The 18334-nt window shown below is 52.9% G+C and overlaps 1 protein-coding gene across 3 annotated transcripts in view, besides 2 other annotated features; it reads right to left on the reverse strand.

Annotated features, from left to right (window-relative positions):
• The window catches only part of ITGA11 (integrin subunit alpha 11), a 135632-nt gene that overhangs the window by 11730 nt on the left and 105568 nt on the right, over positions 1–18334 (reverse strand). For all 3 annotated transcript variants that reach the window (XM_011521363.3, NM_001004439.2, XM_005254228.4), the window contains 9 exons: positions 16870–16980; positions 13157–13242; positions 11924–12131; positions 9004–9102; positions 7390–7466; positions 5518–5607; positions 4512–4602; positions 3029–3142; positions 2733–2819 (listed from right to left, as the gene is read on the reverse strand). In XM_011521363.3, the coding sequence (XP_011519665.1) occupies positions 2733–2819; positions 3029–3142; positions 4512–4602; positions 5518–5607; positions 7390–7466; positions 9004–9102; positions 11924–12131; positions 13157–13242; positions 16870–16980 (963 nt within the window). The remainder of the gene's footprint in view (positions 1–2732; positions 2820–3028; positions 3143–4511; positions 4603–5517; positions 5608–7389; positions 7467–9003; positions 9103–11923; positions 12132–13156; positions 13243–16869; positions 16981–18334) is intronic.
• Positions 6803–7669: an enhancer, noted in NCBI's record as "H3K4me1 hESC enhancer chr15:68607402-68608268 (GRCh37/hg19 assembly coordinates)". NCBI's record gives its function as "activates a minimal SCP1, AML or CMV promoter by ChIP-STARR-seq in primed H9 embryonic stem cells {active_cell/tissue: H9 hESC(primed)}" and the evidence as "EXISTENCE:reporter gene assay evidence [ECO:0000049][PMID:30033119]".
• Positions 9116–9616: an enhancer, noted in NCBI's record as "H3K4me1 hESC enhancer chr15:68609715-68610215 (GRCh37/hg19 assembly coordinates)". NCBI's record gives its function as "activates a minimal SCP1, AML or CMV promoter by ChIP-STARR-seq in naive H9 embryonic stem cells {active_cell/tissue: H9 hESC(naive)}" and the evidence as "EXISTENCE:reporter gene assay evidence [ECO:0000049][PMID:30033119]".

Below are 18334 nucleotides of genomic sequence, written 5' to 3' on the forward strand. Positions count from 1 at the left end.
ACATCAGTTTGAAAAGAGCCCCTATCTGAGCAACATGAATTCTGCTAAAATTGAAGCAAAAACAAACATCAAATTTATGGTGAAACTTGAGTGAAAGAACAGTGAAATCACTGATGCTTTATAAAAAGTTGATGGGGATGATATCACAAAGAAATCAGCAGTTTGCAAATGGATAACTTGTTTTAAGAAGGACTAGAGGGCTGGGCATGGTGGCTCACGCCTGTAATCTCAGCACTTTGGGAGGCCAAGGCAGGCGGATCACAAGGTCAGGAGATCGAGACCATCCTGGCTAACACAGTGAAACCCCGTCTCTATTAAAAAAATACAAAAAATTAGCCAGCCGTGGTGGCACGCGCCTGTAGTCCCAACTACTTGGGAGGCTGAGGCAGGAGAATCACTTGAACCCGGGAGGCGGAGGTCGCAGTGAGCCGAGATCGTGCCACTGCACTCCAGCTGGGTGACCGAGCCAGACTCTGTCTCAAAAGAAAAGAAAAGAAAAGAAAGAAAAGAAAAGAAAAGAAAAGGGATTAGAGGACACTGAAGATGGAGCTTGCAGCAGCAGATCATTCATATCAATTTGTGAGGAAAAAAAAAATCTTGTTCAGGCCCTCACTGAAGAAGCCTGACAATTAACAGCAGAACCATTAGCCAACACTATAGACAGCTCAGTTGGCTTAGTTTACATCATTCTGATTGAAAAATTAAAGTTGAGCAAAATTTCCGCTTGACGGGTGCCCAATCTGTTGCACCCAGATCAGCTGCAGAAAAGAGCAGAACTTTCAATGGAAATTTTAAACAAGTGACATCAAGATCCTGAAGCATTTCTTCAAATAATTATAACGGATAAAAGATGGCTTTGCCAGTACCATCCTGAAGACAAAGCACAAAAAAAGCAATGGCTACCAAGAGGTGGATGTGGTCCAGTCAAAGCAAACACAGATCAGTCAAGAGCAAAGGTTATGGTAACAGTTTTTCGGAATGCTCAGAACATTTTGCTTGTTGACTTTCTGGAGGGCCAAAGAATGAGAACATCTGGTTATTATGACAGTGTTGTGAGAAAGTTAATCAAAGCTTTAGCAGAAAAATGGCTGGGAAAATGTCACCAGAGACTCCTTCTCCACCATGACAATGCTCCTGCTCGCTCCTCTCAAAGGGACTTCAAAAAGTTTGTGGAAAAATGGAATTAAAAGGTAAAAATTAAAAATTAAATTTTACTTCTCAACATAAGCCCATCAAGTTCAAGACACTTTTGTAAGCAATGATACCAACCATGTAGTCCATTCTTAAATGACTAAGAGTCCTGGGAATGTAACCATGTCAATACAGTCCTTTTTTTTTTTTTTTTTTTTTTGAGACAGAGTCTTGCTCTGTTGCCCAGGCTGGAGTACAGTGGCGCCAACTTGGCTCATTGCAACGTCTGCCTCCCAGGTTCAAGAGATTCTCTTGCCCAGCCCGAGTCGCTGGGACTACAGACGCCCACCACCACACCCGGCTGATTTTTGTATGTTTAGTAGAGATGAGGTTTCACTATGCTGGCCAGGCTGGTCTCGAGCTCCTGACCTCAAGCTCCTGACTTCACGATCCACCTGCCTCGGCCTCCCAAAGTGCTGGGATTACAGGCATGAGCCACCGTGCACGGCCTAATGCAGTTTTGTTTACATTATTAGCTGAGGAATAATGGTTGCCCTTTAAAGATTTTTTTTAAGATTAGCAAACCAAAAGAAGTTAGAAGGAGCCAAATCAGGACTGGAAGGTGGACGCCTAATGATTTTGAAATCCCCTCATGTGTGAAGCCTAGGGCAATGATCATATTTAACAATCAAAATAAAAATAAATTCCTTTAAGTAATCATGATTAAGGTAATCCTGATTATTCTGTCATCATCATATCTATTTACCATTGCCCTGGAGGTCTTAGTTAGAGTAATACCTCAAGATCATTTATAATATAAGGATTAAGTGGAGAAACTAACGTTAATGGGAAACCCAAACAAATCTTCAAACAATTAGAATTTATTAGGTGAAAGTTACTAGTGTTGCTGCCGTGCTGCCCACCCCAACCCCAACCCAGCCTAAATCTTTGGCAAAGCCCACTACCCTCAGTAAGTGCTTTGTGGGAGGTACTTGTCTGGGGGAAGTAAAACTAAAACAGGGAAGATTGTTGTCTGGGGGAAGAACAGTGGAAGCAGGGTGAGAAACTGGTATCTGGAGGCAGAGGCAACCCTGAGAATGCAAACTGGAAATGAGCAGGTGTTTTGGGAGGGCTCTGGAAATTGAAGCTGGTCTGCATTCCATCTCTAGGGCAGGAGGCCCCAGCTGACGCAGCCAAATGTCTCCAATACAAGCCACGTGTGTGTTCTGGTGTTCTGGCTGCGTCTGTTTTCTTCCCCTTCCCTCTGCCTCTCTGTATCCTACTGGCCCGCTTGGCCCAGGTGCAAGTCCACTCTCCCCACCCCTTTCTGCTCGTTTGCCTGGCACACCACAGGCTGTGACCTTGGCTTCTCAGACACTCACTCTGTGTGTTTGTCCCACTCCCTGTGAGACGGGGGACTCACACAGGCCAAGAAGTCTTTTCCTCCTTCAGTTTTTTTCTTGGTTTGGGGCTGGGTACATACAGGTGCTCAGTAAGCTCTTATTGGCAAGCTATTGGGTCGGGAGGGAAATGGCCCGCAGAGCACCGGCGGCACGCCTCTAACCCCAACCACTGTGGCTCTCGGTCTGGGGGACACTCACCAGCTGTGGAGCACGACGCAAGTCTTCCTCCACTGGGGTGGGCCGGTACTCAGTGCTATTGCCCCAGATGTTACAGGACGTGTTCGCCTACATAAAGGACATGGACACACACACACATACACAGCCTCACAACCAGCTCTGGCAGACGCAGGATCCCAGAGAGGTTTCTTTTCTCCTCCTCTAGCCGTGGTCCTGGGAGAAGGGAGCTGGGGTCTGGGAACCTGGGGACACACGTAGGGGGAGTGTCTGTCTCCTTCTGGTCCCCTCCCCTAGCCGGCTCCCAAGGCCATCACCACCTCGTCCGTGAGGAAGTCCCTCAGCTTCAGTAGGCGGTTGCCGCTCCTGGTGGCGATGGGAATGGTGATCTTCATCATCATCCCGTGGATGGGGAACAAGCCCAAGTTCTGGATCTGTGGCCAGAGACAGGGAGGTGTCAGTACAGTCAGTTGAGGGGGGTGGAAAACAAGGTCCACAGGGGCCAACCAGCCCCTGGGGGTGGCAATTCCCCCATCAGGCCTGGGAAAAAGGCCCACTCAAGACCCCTGGTGTTTTCACCATGGAAGCTCCTAAGCTCTGTCAAATTGTGGCCGGGGACTGCATGGACAAGTGCAAGAAAGCCCTGAGAGGGGATGGGTGGCTGGAAGCTGAAGACAAGTCAGTGGGGATCCTGAGGCCGGAGAGCAGGGGCCACCTGCATTTTCAACTCTTCTTGCCTGGGGTGGGGATTTTGTTGAGGCCAGGGGTGAAGATGGTGACAGCAATGAATACATCATGAGAGGGAATCATTAATTAACAATTAATTTAATTAATTAAACTCGCTATTTATTACTAAATAAGGAGTGCATGATTGTTCACATTCTAGCAGTGCCACATTCAGTGCCAGGACAGCAGTGATTCCAAGCAGGGCTTTGGAACCAGAAAGACCAGGAATCTAATCCTGGGCCCACCACCACCTATGAGCTGTGTGACCCTGGGCAGCTTACTAGGCCTCTCTTGAACAAGCCATGCAGGGCTCAGCATGTCTGAAGTCCAGTATCCAGCTGTCAGCTTGCCCTCAGCTTTCACACAGCCTAAGAGAAGCTGATGAACTTACAGCTGTTCAGGGCTGAGGGAGCTATCGGGGCCCACTATAGCAGAGGCTGCCAAATTGCCTCCTAACTCTCATTCTCCCACTTTCCTTAGTGGCAGAACCGAGACAAAAGGCCACATTTCCCAGCCTCCCTTATGGCTCAGTCACAACATTCTGGATAAAGAGAGGTCACTGGAAGAGTAAGGAACTGCCAGGGAGGTCCCTTAATAAGGAGGGAGCATGCTCTTCTCCCCTTCCTCCTTCCTGCTGCCTGGAATGAGAAGGTGATGGCTGGAGCTGCAGCCATCTTGTACTGTGAGGTGAACTGGAGGCTGGTAAGTTCACGCTGAGGATGGTGGAATAGAAGACCCACTCCTGAATGACTTTGTGAAGCTGCCAACTCTGGGCTTCTTTTATGGGAGAGAGTAAACCCTAGTGTGTTTAAACCACTGTTTAAAAAAAATTTAAGAATTTTAGGCAACCACACCCTATCTTCACCCATACATCCCCCACTGCAGTCCAGTTGTTTTTCAAAAGAAGACTGAGAGGCCCAGAGAGGAGAAGTGACTTGACTAAAGTCGCACAGTGGGTGGGTGGCAGGGTTGAGGCTGGACTCCGGGCACTAGCGATGATTCCACATTCCTCCCCTCCAGGATGGGGGTGCTCAGATCCCGTCCTTCCCCCTCTACCCGGCTCCCCTCCAGCCTCACCCTGAAGATGCAGCTGAAGGGAGGCCCGATACCATCGTATCTCTCCAGCGAGCTGTTGGGCTTGACCTCGTAGTGGCTCAGGCTGCTGCTCCTGCGGAGACAGAGGACAGGGCTGTCGTGAGCTCAGTCAGGGCTGGCTGGATGGACAGATGAATGAAAGAGGGAGAGGGCATGTGCCGGCCTCCCCCGGGCCACGAAAAACAGGTTCCCGCTTGTGTCGGCTGGGAGTGAGTGTCATGTTGGAAGGATTCTGAGCCTTTGCAGGAATCAGCGCTGCCATGGGTGAGCAATGTCTGCCTCCTGAGTGGGTGGGCGTGAGTCAGAAGAGCCAGTTATCTCATCCCTGCCCCAGCGTCTCTGCCTAGGAGTGTAGCTACTTTTCGGAGTGACCATGCCACTGTGCTCCCTTCCACCCTCTAGGGATGGCTGGCGTGGGAGGGCCTGAGCTTCCTCTCCGCATCTGCTGTTCTGCCCTGACTTCTCCATCTGCCCATGAGCTCTCAGAGGACAGGGGCTGTTTCCTCCATCAGATTGGGGGCCAGTAGCATGCCAAGGGGGTGGGGGTGGGAGCAGTCTGTCCTTTGGGGAAGAGTCTTTTCCCACTGACATTGTTTAGATGTGCTGGCATAATATGATAACAAAAAGCAGATTGACTTACGATAGATATTATTTCTGTTTTTAAATTCTCTACAGACCATGCATCCACTTGTTGCCTATGCCAGGGGTGGACGCCTCCCACTGCCCCCACCCTCCCTTCTTGCCCCTGCTGGGAGCTCCCCAGGGCCGGGCCTGTGTCTCCTCCTTCCTCTAATTTGATATCCCCTCCCCACATTGGATGGGGGTGCTGCACTCTCTGACCCACCAGGGACACTCTTGGCTCCATCCATAGTCCCTTAGTGCTGGGGTCTGGCCCTATTAGGGCCCATCAGAGGATGCCCCCCCTTAGGCCTCCCTCCTCCCATTCCCCATGCCTTCCCTCTCCTGGGGCCCCCGGAGCCCGGCCCACCTGGTGAAGAGGACGTCAGCCTCGTATTTGAGGTGGAAGCGTAAGGGGGCCACGTTGTCTTCCTTGGTGCTGTCCCGCTCATTACTGTCACTGCAAGGAGAGCCAGGCGGCAAGGTCAGGAAGGGGCTCAGCCAGCACAGGCAGCGGGAAGGGTCTGAGGCAGACTGTGGAAGGAGCACACTGGCTTATCTGGGGCTGATGGGCACCAGACAGGCCAGACAGGGAACCTGAGGCATCTCCTAGGAGAGGAAGGGCCAGAAGCAGGGATGGATGACACTAGCTCTACCTGCTGCCCCTTTAGGTGGAGTCAGGGGAGGGCTCTGGGCTGGACCTGGGAGGCCTGTGCCTGGCCTGGCACGGACTGGACCCCAGCCTGTTTGCCTCCCTCACCCAGATGCCCCGTCTGTCAGGCGGGCCAATCCTGCTGCCTGCTGGACTCAGGGGCTGTGGGAGATGACACCTGTGGCAAAGGCTGTGCCCACGGAGGAGGGATGGTGAGGAATTCACAGTAGAGTCATTCATTTATCCCTGGACTGACCGGGGGCAGCTCCTACAGGGCGGCCAGGGGCACTCTGCTGCCACAAGAAGGCTGGGAGTGAAATTCAGAGACATCTTCCGGGGGGGTTCTGTCCAGTGTGCCTCCCTTTATATCTGAGCACCATGAACTACCGGGGCAAATCATTTTAGACATAAAAATGTACAGTTCTTGCTTGTTATATAGACTGAGTTTGATTCCCTTTGGAAGCCTTACCCCAGGATAGGGGTTTGGTTAGAAAAGGGAGACCCAACACACACAGATGTGCCTCCAGAGCCCCCTCCTACACACACCTAATTCTCAGACACCCCCCACAGCTGTGCCAGAGACACTGCTCTGCAAGCGCGCTCATTTCTCCTGTGAAGACGGGACTGGGCTTTCTTAGAGCAGGGCAGAGAGCAAGGGAGGCCTTGCCAAGTTTGCCACGTGGTGTGTGAGAATTCTACCAGGATGCACAATTCATTTAACTGTAGCTGGGACGCGAGCACGTGTCGGGTATGAGTCCCCAGCGCTTATGTGACCTCTGACCTGCACGTGTGTGTGCTGGAATGTTAGTGTTCGGTTTGCCTGGGGTATTTATTTCTTAGCTAAGGATTTTTGCCATTTATAAGGCTCCAGAGTGGACACAATCCCTCTGTCCTTCCCCACACAGAGGTAATTCTGCAAAAAAGAGAAGTGTATTTACTACTGACACAAAGTGATTCATGGGGTCAACACATAGCAAGCTACCTCTGAGAGGCCTGGGAGACAGACAGACAGATAGACAGGAAGACCCACATAGAGTAAGAAAAGGCCTCTTAAAAATAGAAAAAGGGGAGAGAGGTGACTAGGACAGGAAGAGCCCTGGATGGGGAATAGGACGAGTAGTGTTCAGCTTCCAGCTGCACAATTTACTGCTGTGTGTCCCTGGGAAATTCACTCACCCTCTCTGAGCCTCTCTTTTCTTAACTTGGAAGATGGTGTGTGGAATAACCCCTGCTTTGATGATCTTAAGGGGCCTCTGTGAGGACTGAGATTTTTGCCTGTACAATGCTTTATAACCATAGGGTTTGTGAATTACTGCTGTATACAGGGCTGTCTAAAAGTAAAGGGCTGACATTATTATTTATCATCCAAAGAATGAAGAGTGGTGGCAACACAGGGGGCAGCAGGTTGGCCCACACCTGCAACGGATGCCGGCCCACCTCCCCACCCCACTGCCTCCACTCAAGGTTGGGGCAGTGGGGGACAGGGCGTGGGGCAGCGGACTCAGTGTCGGGAGGAGCAGTTGCTAGCAGCCAGAGAGCTGGGCCCCGGAATAGCAAGCTTTGGGGAGAAGGAGCAGGCACGGCCCTGACCTGCCTGCAGCGAGCTCGATCTCCAGGTGGTGTAGGAAGATGGATTTGCTGAACTCAAAATCAAGACGGAAAGCCACCTGCAAGGAAGCAGTCGCATGTCTGGGCATTGCTGGGACCAGCCCCGCCCACTCCCCACAGCCCACTCCCCACAGCCCCCTGCTGGCTTGGGGAGAGGGAGCTTGCTGGGGGTTGGGGAGCTGCTGGCTGGGAACAGGCTGGGAAAGGGAGGACCAGGTGCTACAGAACATGAGCTGAGCTTCAGGGCTGCTGTGGGGACACAGCCAAAGACAACAGCTCCCACAATGGGGTTTCTCGGGGCTGAGCCAGCCCCCCTCCCTCTTCCTCTTCTTTTGTTTTTAGCAAAAGGCAACCAGAAAGCAGCAAGTCCAGCTCCAGACTCTGTCTGCAGGGTTTTTAGGGTAGGGGTCCTTGATGGCAGGAAGGGCCGATGGCCATCGCCATGCACCACAGGATGTGGGGGCCAGAAACGTTTGGTAGGACTGCCTTGTCCACCTCTTCTTTGTGTGTGGCAGGGAGGAGATGGCCCAGAGAGGGATGAGGGCCAGTGGCCACCCAGCAGGCCAACAAGGCATCCGCCCCTTGTCTGGCAGCGCTTCTGCCACACTGCTGACCTGGGCCCTGATACTCCCCTTGCCCTTCGCCCCGCGGTGGGGAAACATGCGACCCTCCTCGCCTCCTCCCTGCCCCACCTGGGGGCATTACTGAGGCTTTGCACAGACCCCTGATGCGCTCCCTGGTCTCACCCTCACGAGGTTTCCCAGGAGACCTCAGCGGCCCCTTCTCTGCAGGAGTGGCTGGGCGTGGGTGGGGAAGCCTGGGCTATGTCCTGCTCCATCCCCACTCCAGAGCTCCTGGGTTTGTCGGTGCCTCAACCCAGAAACCACACCTTTGACTTATATCTCACCAGGGAGGTGCTTTGCTAAGGAGCCCTCATCCCCACTCCCATTTCTTTCTCTTTCCCCAGCTGTGCAGACCCTGCTCCTGGGAGCACTGCTGCCGCCTACTGGCTCCTGCCACAGCTCCTCTCTGATTCCCAAGTCCACGCAGCTTGGCCTCAATTAGGTCTCCTACTCCAGAACCTTCTATGGCTGCCTGCTGCCCAGGGCTGATGTCCAAACACTCCCTGCAATCTGGCGTCTCCCTCCCTTTCCCAGCTACTTTGCTTCTCCCTTCACATACCCACCCTCTATTCACATGAGCTTTTAAGCACAGTTGGGTGGTAGGTACTCACGAAATGGTAGTTTCTCTCCCCATCCCTCCTCATACACAGCACAGTGGCAGAGGCCAGAAATTTGAAAAACTTGTGAGGCTGCAGAACAGTGGGACTGGCTAAGGGCAGGTGGCAGACTAGTGGCTGGGAGTGGTAGGAATTCTCTCTGAGTTAAAGGATGGGCTGCTAGCATGGGGATGGCTGGCTCATTTGGTCACTTGAATGTAATTTTGTGGGAGAAAAGACAAATAAAAGCCACCTCAGGCCTCCCATCCCTCCCTGGTCTTCTGTGTTCACTCTTGTTGCTCTTGCCGCCCTCCCCAAACTACCTGTGCCTCCCAGTGCCCACCCTGACCCTCCCCCACATTGTCCCCAGTCTCAACCTTGGCCTTGGCCCGGAAGAAGGGATAGCTGACGTTGCAGACTTGCTTCTGGAGCCTCCTCTCCTCGTTCACACACTCAATGCTACCGTCTGAGTCCTCCTGGAGGTGGGTGGCAGACATCATGGCAGCAGTTAGGTGGGGCCTGGGACCAGGTCTCGAGGCTCCCTCACCCCCAGCCTGCACCCCACTCTGCAGGGGCCGCCTCAGCCCCTGATACCCATATGAAAGCCTGGACCACAGCCCTTCTGATGTCTGAGACCCCAGAGGCCCCAGAGGCCAGGGTGTGTCTTGGTTCCTGGTACTTGGCATGACACGGGGCGGGACACACTCAGAGGCGGTGGGGAGGATGGCGGGGGCTCATGTATGCGTCTCATTTTGCTCACCTGTTAAATGGGGATGACAGTAACTACCTCATCTAGTTGTTATGAGGATTACATGACGCGATGCACATAAATGCAGCGCCTATCCCATGCCCTGCCTATTGTCATCACTCGTATGTGGCAGCTACAGTTATGATGATTATTTGTCCCTGCTGTGTTCTCTGCACTGTTGGGCATTACCTGGGCACATGGCTGTGTATGTCTCTGGGCATGCATGCACCCGTGTGGATGTGAGCATGTGTCTGTGGAGACTCTGTGTGTGTCTGCGTGTCAGTGCATGTGTGTGCATGTACCTGCTGCATGTACACAGAGCATGTGCATTTCCCAGGACAAATATGTAGGCTGCTGTGTTTTTGCATGTGTGTGCAAAAAGTGTGTGATCAGACTAACACATCTGCATTTGGCTGAGAGGGGTGCTTTCTCTACTAGAGTTCCCCTTGGCTGGATGTTGGGGAGAGAGAGGAGAGGAATGCTGACCTCACAGCCATGAGCGTTTCCTGGGTTGGGGATGGGTGGTGGCACCTGTGAAGGAGGTAGGCTCCAGGCTAACTCTGCACCCCACCTGCTATGTGTGGGGACACAGCACTTCACAGAACATGTCTCCCACTTCTCTTTACCTCCACTCATTTCCAAAAGCTCTTCTGAGCCACAGAAACTATCTCCATGATTCCCTCCCCAGGATTAGGAGCAAGCATGAGACTGGCCTTGTGAAGTCTGGGCCAGGGAAGCAGGGGAAGGCGGATGCTGGTGTGGGGCTTGATTCCCTCCGTATACCTGAAATCCAGACAGACACAAGTCCCTGGACAGGAGGGGACTTCGAGAGACCATCAGGTGGGCTCTTCATCATCAGCCTGGGCTGTCACTCTGGGCAGTGGAGAGGGAGTGGGATTGGGGCCCAGGCCTGGGCCTGACAGAAGGAACTGTGGCTGCAGATAGGCCTTGAGGTCTGTTTGAGGATGGGGGAGCCCACTGAGGAGGAAGGGGGTACCCGAGTAGGCAGCTCCTCGCTTTCCTGGGGTGGCCTCCCTCCACTCAGCTTCCCCTCCTGGCTATAGGAACTGCTCCTGTGTGTGTGGCAAGCAAGGGGGGGGCACTTGGGGAGGGGTGCTGGGCAGTGGTTCTGGGGTGGAGAGGACAGACTGGCCTGGCACCTGTCTTGCCTGGCACACTGGGTTCCACATTGACACTGAGATCCTCGAGGACAGAGGCTGTGTCTGAGGGCCCTAGGACCCCCGCAACACCCACACATGACATTGATGTCTGAGTTTACTCAACAAACTTGTCTTGAGGGCCTTCTATGTGCCCAGCTCTGGACACAGACATGGCTAAGACAGGGCTCTTGCCACCTGGGAGTCAAGGGTTTCAAGAGGCCAGCACTTGGAGACTGATGTTTCTTCAGAGCACATGAAGGGCTGTACCAGATGCTATGCGGGCTGGAGGGCCGCCTGTGGCCTTGGAGAGCTTTGGGAAAGATACCCCAGAGAGCAGGGCTGAGGACTATGCTTTGTCACATAGCGCAGGCTCAGGCGCCAGCTGTGGGGTGGGAATTCCGCTCTGCGGCTCACCAGCTGTGTGGTCCTGGGCAGGCCTTAACCCCTCCCTATGCCTCAGTTTCCTCCTCTGTAAAATGGGGACACCACCACCACCACTACCACCACTACTGCTATGTCTGAGGTTGCTGCAAGGGTTAAATGCATGCCAAGTGCTAGCACAGCGCTGGACGCCGTGAGTAGGCAATATGTGGATGGTCACCAAGTGGGAGCAGGAGCCTGTTGGGCAGAGGAGAGAGGAGTCCCAGGTGGGGGCCATGGTGGGAACCAGCAGGGCGTGCTGGGAACAAGGTGGCCCGTGGCACAGTTAGAGGAGAAGTGGCAGGAGGTGGGTGAGATGGGCCTTGAATGCCACAATGAGGAGCCTGGAGTTTGTTCTGACAGCAGCTGGGAGTGATCAGAAGTTTTAACCTGGGGAAGAACCGGTTCTGATTCTTGTCAGAAGGACCTTCCGAGCAAGCCTGCAGGGTGCACTGTTGGTAGAACGTGTGGATGGCTGGTGGCACATGCGTGGTGTGTGTGCCCCTAACCAGGGCCCAGGAGTCGGGCTGAAGGGTATTCCTCCCTGTGTTCCCAAAGGGCTCAGACTCCCCTAGTGCCGGTGGTTCTCAGCCCTGGCTGCACACTGAAGTCACTGAGGGAGCTTTAAAAGCCTCCCGATGCCAGGCCCAACCCCAGAGCAAATCAGTTAGGATCTCCAGAGGAGGAGTCTGGGGGCAGGCTTTTTAAAGCTCTCCTGTGATTTTTTTTTTTATTTAATTACTTTATATATTTTTGTAGAGATGGGGTCTCACTATGTTGCCCAGGCTGGCCTCAAACTCCTGGGCTCAAGTGATCCTCCCACCTCAGCCTCCCAAAGTGCTAGGATTACAGGCATGAGCCACTGCATCCAGCTTTCTTGTGATTCCAACATGTAGCCAGGAGCCCACCTGGCCTTCCTTTTCCTCTGTGCCAGGCAGAGGCAGTCTGGGCAGGTCGCTGAGGTCTTACCTTCTGGATCAAGCTGGCAAACTGCAGGTTTGCTGACTGCGAGATATTTAGGACCGTGCTGTAGGCGTTCTCGCCCCTGTTCTCCAGTGTGGCCTCCACCGCCACTCGCTGGCGTGTGCTCTCTATGATGAAGACTGTGGTGTCGAAGGACAGCGTGTATGCGGAGCAGTCCTGCGCAGGCTTCCTCAGCACCCTCTGGCAGTACTCCCTGAGAACAAGAGACCACCAGAGACTGGGCAGATGGAATGAGGAAAGCAGGGGTAGAGAGGAGCCCCAGGGTTGGGGCAAAAAGGTGGGTCTGGGCACTTGACTGGCCTCTGCTCATGGGAATAGCCACTGGGAGGAGAGTGGAAATGGATGGCAGGGCTGGAAAGAGCTCACCCTTCAAGACCACTTCCTATTTCAAAGGCCCTTGGTGTCCCCACCATAGAGATCATACCCTCCGCTGAACCCAGAGCTCTTATTTGACCTCACCACTCACGCATCACCACTCCGCACATCATGTTTCCCTTTTGGCCTTGGCTGCTAGGAAGCTCAGCACTAATGTAGAGATAATCCTTATTTTAGCCTAGCTGGTTAGAATATGTGCTCCATTATCCTTCTACAAGTTTTGAATGTGCTATTTCTCTTTATTATCTATGTCATGGTATATATGTTTTCTATCTAAATCATCTCATAGTTGGATCAAAGTTGAGCATAAATTATTGGAAAATATGTTACATAAATTAAGAATATGATATTGTTCATTATTTTCCCTTGTATGTTCGTTTGTCTCTTCCAGGGGATTGTAGGTCCCCTGCTCACCCTCGGCTGGTGTCCCTGGCATCTTTCCATCAGAAGGATTGGAAAGCCCAAGGTGTTCAGCCAGCGGGCCTAGAGGTCACCTCATCTGGGGGCTGAAGGACAAGCACCCAGAACTCCAGAGACTCCTGTCTCTACCTTTCATCTATTTTGTAATGTGGGCTCCGAAGAAAGGGTTTCTTTTTTTTTTTTTTTTTAACAAAATTTGAAATTAGATTAGACTAGTAGTTTCATATTACAGAAGAGACTTTCCTGAGGTTATGCAGGAGTTGGTGGCAGAGCCTGGGCTAGAACGCAGGCTCCAAGTGCAATGTTTGATCCATGCTGCCTGTGAGGAGGATGTCCAGGAAATAATCCAGGGCCCCAGGAGCCCCAGAGCCTCTGGCAGTGAAGGGGAAGGGGCGAGGGTGGGGGTGGAAGGAGCCAACTCACATGGCCGTGGGCAGGTCACTCCGGGCATCCAACACAAGGTCAGGGACACAGTGCTCATCCTCATTGCAGCCGTTCCAGAAGGGCACCTGGGCCAGGGAGAGCCAGGTGTGGGCAGCTGGGTAGGGACCCGCAGCCCCTCGCCCTCAATGTACACCAGCTCTGTCTCCACCACACTAGACATGGGCTGGCTTTCCTGCACTGTCCCCAGACACCACACTGCTCTGTCTTGTGCTTTTCCATAGATGCTTCCCTCTTTAAAACGATGCTCAAAGCTCAGCTCCTCCTGGCTCCCCTCCAGTTCATAACTGAGCTGATGGCACAGAACCCCCACCCCCACTCACCCAGCAGAGCGGTTCTGGTCAACATTTATTGATCATCTACTGTGTGTGGGCAAGGGCTTTGGTACTGGGGATACAAAACAAGAAAGATGCAGCTTCTGCCCTCAGCTCAAGGGGAAGATTGGTGTATGAACAAATCACTAGTGTAAAATGTGCAAAAAAACCGAAAAGAAATGTGCATGAGGAATAGAAGAGGCAGAGAGGAGAAACAGCTGTTTTGGCCTGTAGGAAGTCAGGGAAGCCTTCGAGGAAGTGACAGGGGATCAGAGTTCTGAAGGACGGTCAAGGTAGCTGTGTGGACCGGGATGGAGGTGGTGAAGTCCAGGAGGAAGGACGGCCTGATGCAGGGGCCCTGGGGCAGGAGCGGGACGGTGAGTCTGGGAAATGATAGGTGGGTCAGTGTTGCTGTGGTAAGAGACACAGGGGTGGGAGAGAGGAAGAGATGGTCAGGGGCCTGTGTTTACAGGGCCTTGGGGTCATTCCTTGCAACTGGTAGGAGTCGCCGAATGCCTCAGGCAGGGAATGTCCTGACAGACCTGCATGCTGAAGGCTGCCCTGGCTGCTGTGGGAGAATGGAGTGAGAAGATGGAGGCTCGAGGCAGGGAGACCATTGAGGAGGCTGCCACAACATTCGGGCAAGAGATGACGCTGGTGTCGGTGTGGTAGTGGGCATGAGAGGAGGAAATAGGTTAGTGACCCCAGAGGCGGGATCAATAGGAACCTGGAGGTTGTCGGGGCTGAGGGAGAAAGGGGTCCAGGGTGTCAGCTGAGTTTCTTTTTTAGGTGTCTAGAAGGATAATCATGGCATTTGGTAATAAAAGCAGGGGTTGGCTGGGCGTGGTGGCTCACACCTGTAATCCTAGCACTCTGGGAGGCTGAGACAGGTGGATCAACTGAGGTCAGGAGTTCAAGAACAACCAGGCCAACATGGTGAAACTTTGTCTCTGCTAAAAAATACAAAAATTAGCTGGGCGCAGTGGCTGCAGTCCCAGCTACTCGGGAGGCTGAGGCAGGAGAATTGCTTGAACTCAGGCAGAGGCTGCAGTGGGCCAAGATCGTGCCACTACACTCCAACCTGGGTGACAGAGGGAGATACCATTTCAAAAAAAAAAAAAAAGAAAGTAGGGGTTAAGTGAGAAGTTCAGTGTGCGGCATGTTGAGTTTGAAGTGCCTGTGGCCCACCCAGGGCGAGGACCTCAGCAGGCAGATGGATATTCAAGCCTGGAGCTGAGGGGCAGTAACTGTCACTACCGACAACACAGCCCAAACCAGGGGAGAGGAAACAGGTGTCACAAAGTCATGTGTATCTTAAATTCATTAACTTTTCTCGAAGGAGAGCTCTCTGGCCCTCAGTCAGATCCACACGCTCTTGCTTTAGGCATTGATCTACCCATCTCGCCCCTCAGCTCCCCACCGCAAGGTGGACCTGCCGACTGCAATGGTAGCCAGCGAAGCCATATCCAGGGGTCACCGTGGAGCCGTTTGGGAAAGGAACTTAGTTCAGGATAGGGGCTTTACGGCATTCTAGCACCAAAGTTCATCCTGGTGAGTTCAAGTCTCAAAGAAAAAACAGCCAGCTCCCACTCAGCATACTGTTTAAGAAGTTTGAGAACTATATAATGACCTTCAGAAGAATTTCTATCTGGCTGATTAAAATAAATAATTTAATGTAATAAGCAACTGTTACACTCAATAATATGGGATGGCTCACTTCCCCAACAGGCCAGATATTATGGTATTAGAACAGCGCTGGGCATTTAGTAGAGGCAAAGTAAGACTTTGTAGAATGATGGGAAGAATGTGTCTCACTTGCTGGGGGCTAGAAATCCAGATAAATCAGAGTTTTAGAAACTTAGCTGCTCTACAAAGTTTTCAGCTCTGTTTCTCACCTTTTCTTTATAAGGTGAGAAAGGGGTTTACCTGAAGCTGCATCCTGCCTTTCCTATTTCCCTGCCTTGGTGATGCTGTCAGCTCTCCCGGAATAAAAGCCCATCCTCCCTGTCTCTGCATGTCTGAATCCTGCCTAGCCTTTAAAGTCTGGCCAAAGGCTCCCTCCTCCAGGAAGGCCCTCTGACCTATCATCTGATTGCTTGATTGTACGTCCTCCAAGTGCATACTGCCTCCCACCTGACCTGTGCTGCTCATTACCACCTTGCACGGAGATCGTCGGTGTCAGAGCAGGGATTACCCTGTGTGTTAATCTGCACTGTGGGCTTCAGCATGCTTGTGGGGTGAGTGCCACGTACTCATTCATTTGCCATAGTGACTTTGTAATTACTGCGAGAGGACAAAAATGACTTAGTGCGCCCAGCTTTCCCCTTCTCCCGGCTCACTAACGATGAATCCAGCTTTGCCAGCCCAGGAGCTCAGACTTAGGAGAAAGAGGGGAGGTGTGAGGACGGAGGTTTGGCAGGGGACTGTGGGAGGCCTGGGGAGAGGGGTGTGGAGGGGCTGTGGGGGATGATGGGTGTGAATGAGAGAAGGGGAGGTTTTCAGGGGCATTGCTGTGGACTGTACGGTCCTTTCCTGGTGTTGAAGAAATGCAGGTAAGAACTTGAATAATTCTGAAACTGCTTCCTGGCTGGACTCTGTCACTCACACAGACGTTGCTCAGAGACTGGACCTCACAGAATGGCTTAAGAGCACCGTGGTGTGCTTAAAAGTTGTTTCCCAAATCCTCAAGGTTCAGGCATTAGCTATTCCATTTTATAACTTTTGCCTGCTCTTGCAGCACAGCAGCAGAATTGATCACTGCCTGACATTTTCCTTGAGTGGGATTTACATGGAGTTGCGGCTGCAGGGAGCATTTGAATGTTAGATGTCAAACATTTTGGATGCCCCAGAGCCAGGGATTAGAAAATGTGGCTGAGGGATGGGGCCGCTTCTTTTTGGAATGCTTAGGACCGCTGTCAGTCAGTTAAAACACTTCTTTTTGCAATACTTAGGAGCTCTGTGAATCAGTTAGTCACCTAACAAGCAGAACCCCAGGCTCTAAGAGTCACTCTCTGGTCTCCATTGTCCTCATCTGTAAAGGAGGGAGGTGGGTGATTAAGATCTCCGATCCCTTCTCATCCAGTGGTTCTTTGTATTTCTCCGGTGCTCACCCTGTGCTCCCCTGTGCTGGGGATACGGGGAAACTTGAACAGGAGAAGGCCTGGGCCTTGCCCTTAAGGAATTGATCTGCTAACACTCAGCACAGGCCCCGAGAGAGGCAGGAAGGAGCCACACTGTGGGTTTGCCAGGACAGGAGGTGGGAAGGTGAGATGAGGGATGGTGTCCTCTGTACCCGGCACACTCAGGCTCTGGGCTTTGGGGTTGAGGTGGAGGTGGGGGTGGGGTTCATGCCCGAGGTGCGTGCCCTGTACCGAGATGTACCGAGACTCTGAGAGTGGTGGGCCAGCCGTCGTCCAGCATGGGGCCATGGTCAGGGTCCTCCAGGGAATACTCGACTGAGAAGGTCACTGGCTTCACGTAGTCAGCAGTGTCCTGGGGGGTGGAGATGAGGGCAGCGGTGAGGGAGGAGAGAACGTCATTTTATGAGCCAGGACCGTGGATGCTGAGATAGAACTTCCACCTTCCTTAGATGGCAGGGCAGCTGCCCTGTGCCCTCAGGGTGAGTCTGCAGGTGGATGGAGGTTTCTAGCGGGTCTGTTGGTGGGAAGAGTGTGCTTCTGTGAAAGGAGCTCCAAGCTCAGCTCATGCCAACCTAGCTGCCTGGCTGTTTTGCCAAGCTCCTGCACATCCTTCGGGGCCAGACTCCCATTGCCCGGGTACCTCGGCCTCTGGGAAGCCTGGCAGTGCCCGCCTGTATCCCACCCCACCCACCACTCTCTTCAGACCAGTTACGCCTGCTGCTCATGTAGCATTTGAACCATATGACTGTGTGTCACTCTTCCTTCCCAAGCAAGGAATAGGCCTGGAGCCTCCCAGCATGGCCCTAGCACTGTGATAAGGGCTTCAGCATGTGGAATTGGTGAATGAACAAACTCGTGAGCAAGACAGGGGCGCTCAGGTTGGTTCTGAGCATAGATGGTAAGTAAAGGGGTTGCTTAGAGCAGCCTAAAAATTTCCCCTTGGAACCTGCAATCCCTGATTATATAAAGGCAGTGGCTGTCAAACCTGAGCTGGCACCAGAGTCCCCTGGGAGCTTGTTAAAACACAGGGTGCTGGCGCCAGCCCCAGCCCCAGCCCCAGAGTTTCTGAGTCAGAACAAGTGAATTTCCAAGTTTGTGGGGAGGATGAAGATGCTGCTGGTGTGGATGCGTCTCAGGGGGCCCCTTAACAGGGATGCACCTTCTCAGACCTGCTCACATCTCTGAACTCTGGCCATTGAACTACTGGGACCAGGAGGGCTCTGAGTGACCCTGCTTGCATCTCTGGGGCTGGAGCTGTGAGCTGGGTATTTGGTATCTCTGGATGGAAGTAAACCTCTCATTCTCTTCCTTAGCTATAAAATGGGGCACCAGGCCACTACCCTACTTGTGACATCACTGGCGCCCCTCTCTGTCTCACCTCCTGTTTTGTACATGCCACTGTCTCCTGGACCTGGCCTTTAATTGTTAGCTGCTGCCTGCTTATCCCTCCCTTTGGGGCTGTGCCCCCCACCAGCTGCTCCTAGTTCTCTCTGCTGGACCTACTGAGCCCACCTTCCTCCCTTCGGCATCTGAGAGTGGCAGGAGAAGAGGTTTTGGAAGGATGTCTAGTGAGGTGGTATGTAGCGTGTCTCTGGGGCATGAGGTGGGAATGTGGAGTGGCCAAGGTCAGGGTACACTGTCCCTGGCTGGCTTCCTGAGGTCTGCTGGGGGCTTAGAACCAGCCAGGCAGACTCTCTGCCTCTCCC

Source organism: Homo sapiens, chromosome 15 (assembly GCF_000001405.40).
Source record: "Homo sapiens chromosome 15, GRCh38.p14 Primary Assembly".
NCBI lineage: Eukaryota > Metazoa > Chordata > Mammalia > Primates > Hominidae > Homo > Homo sapiens.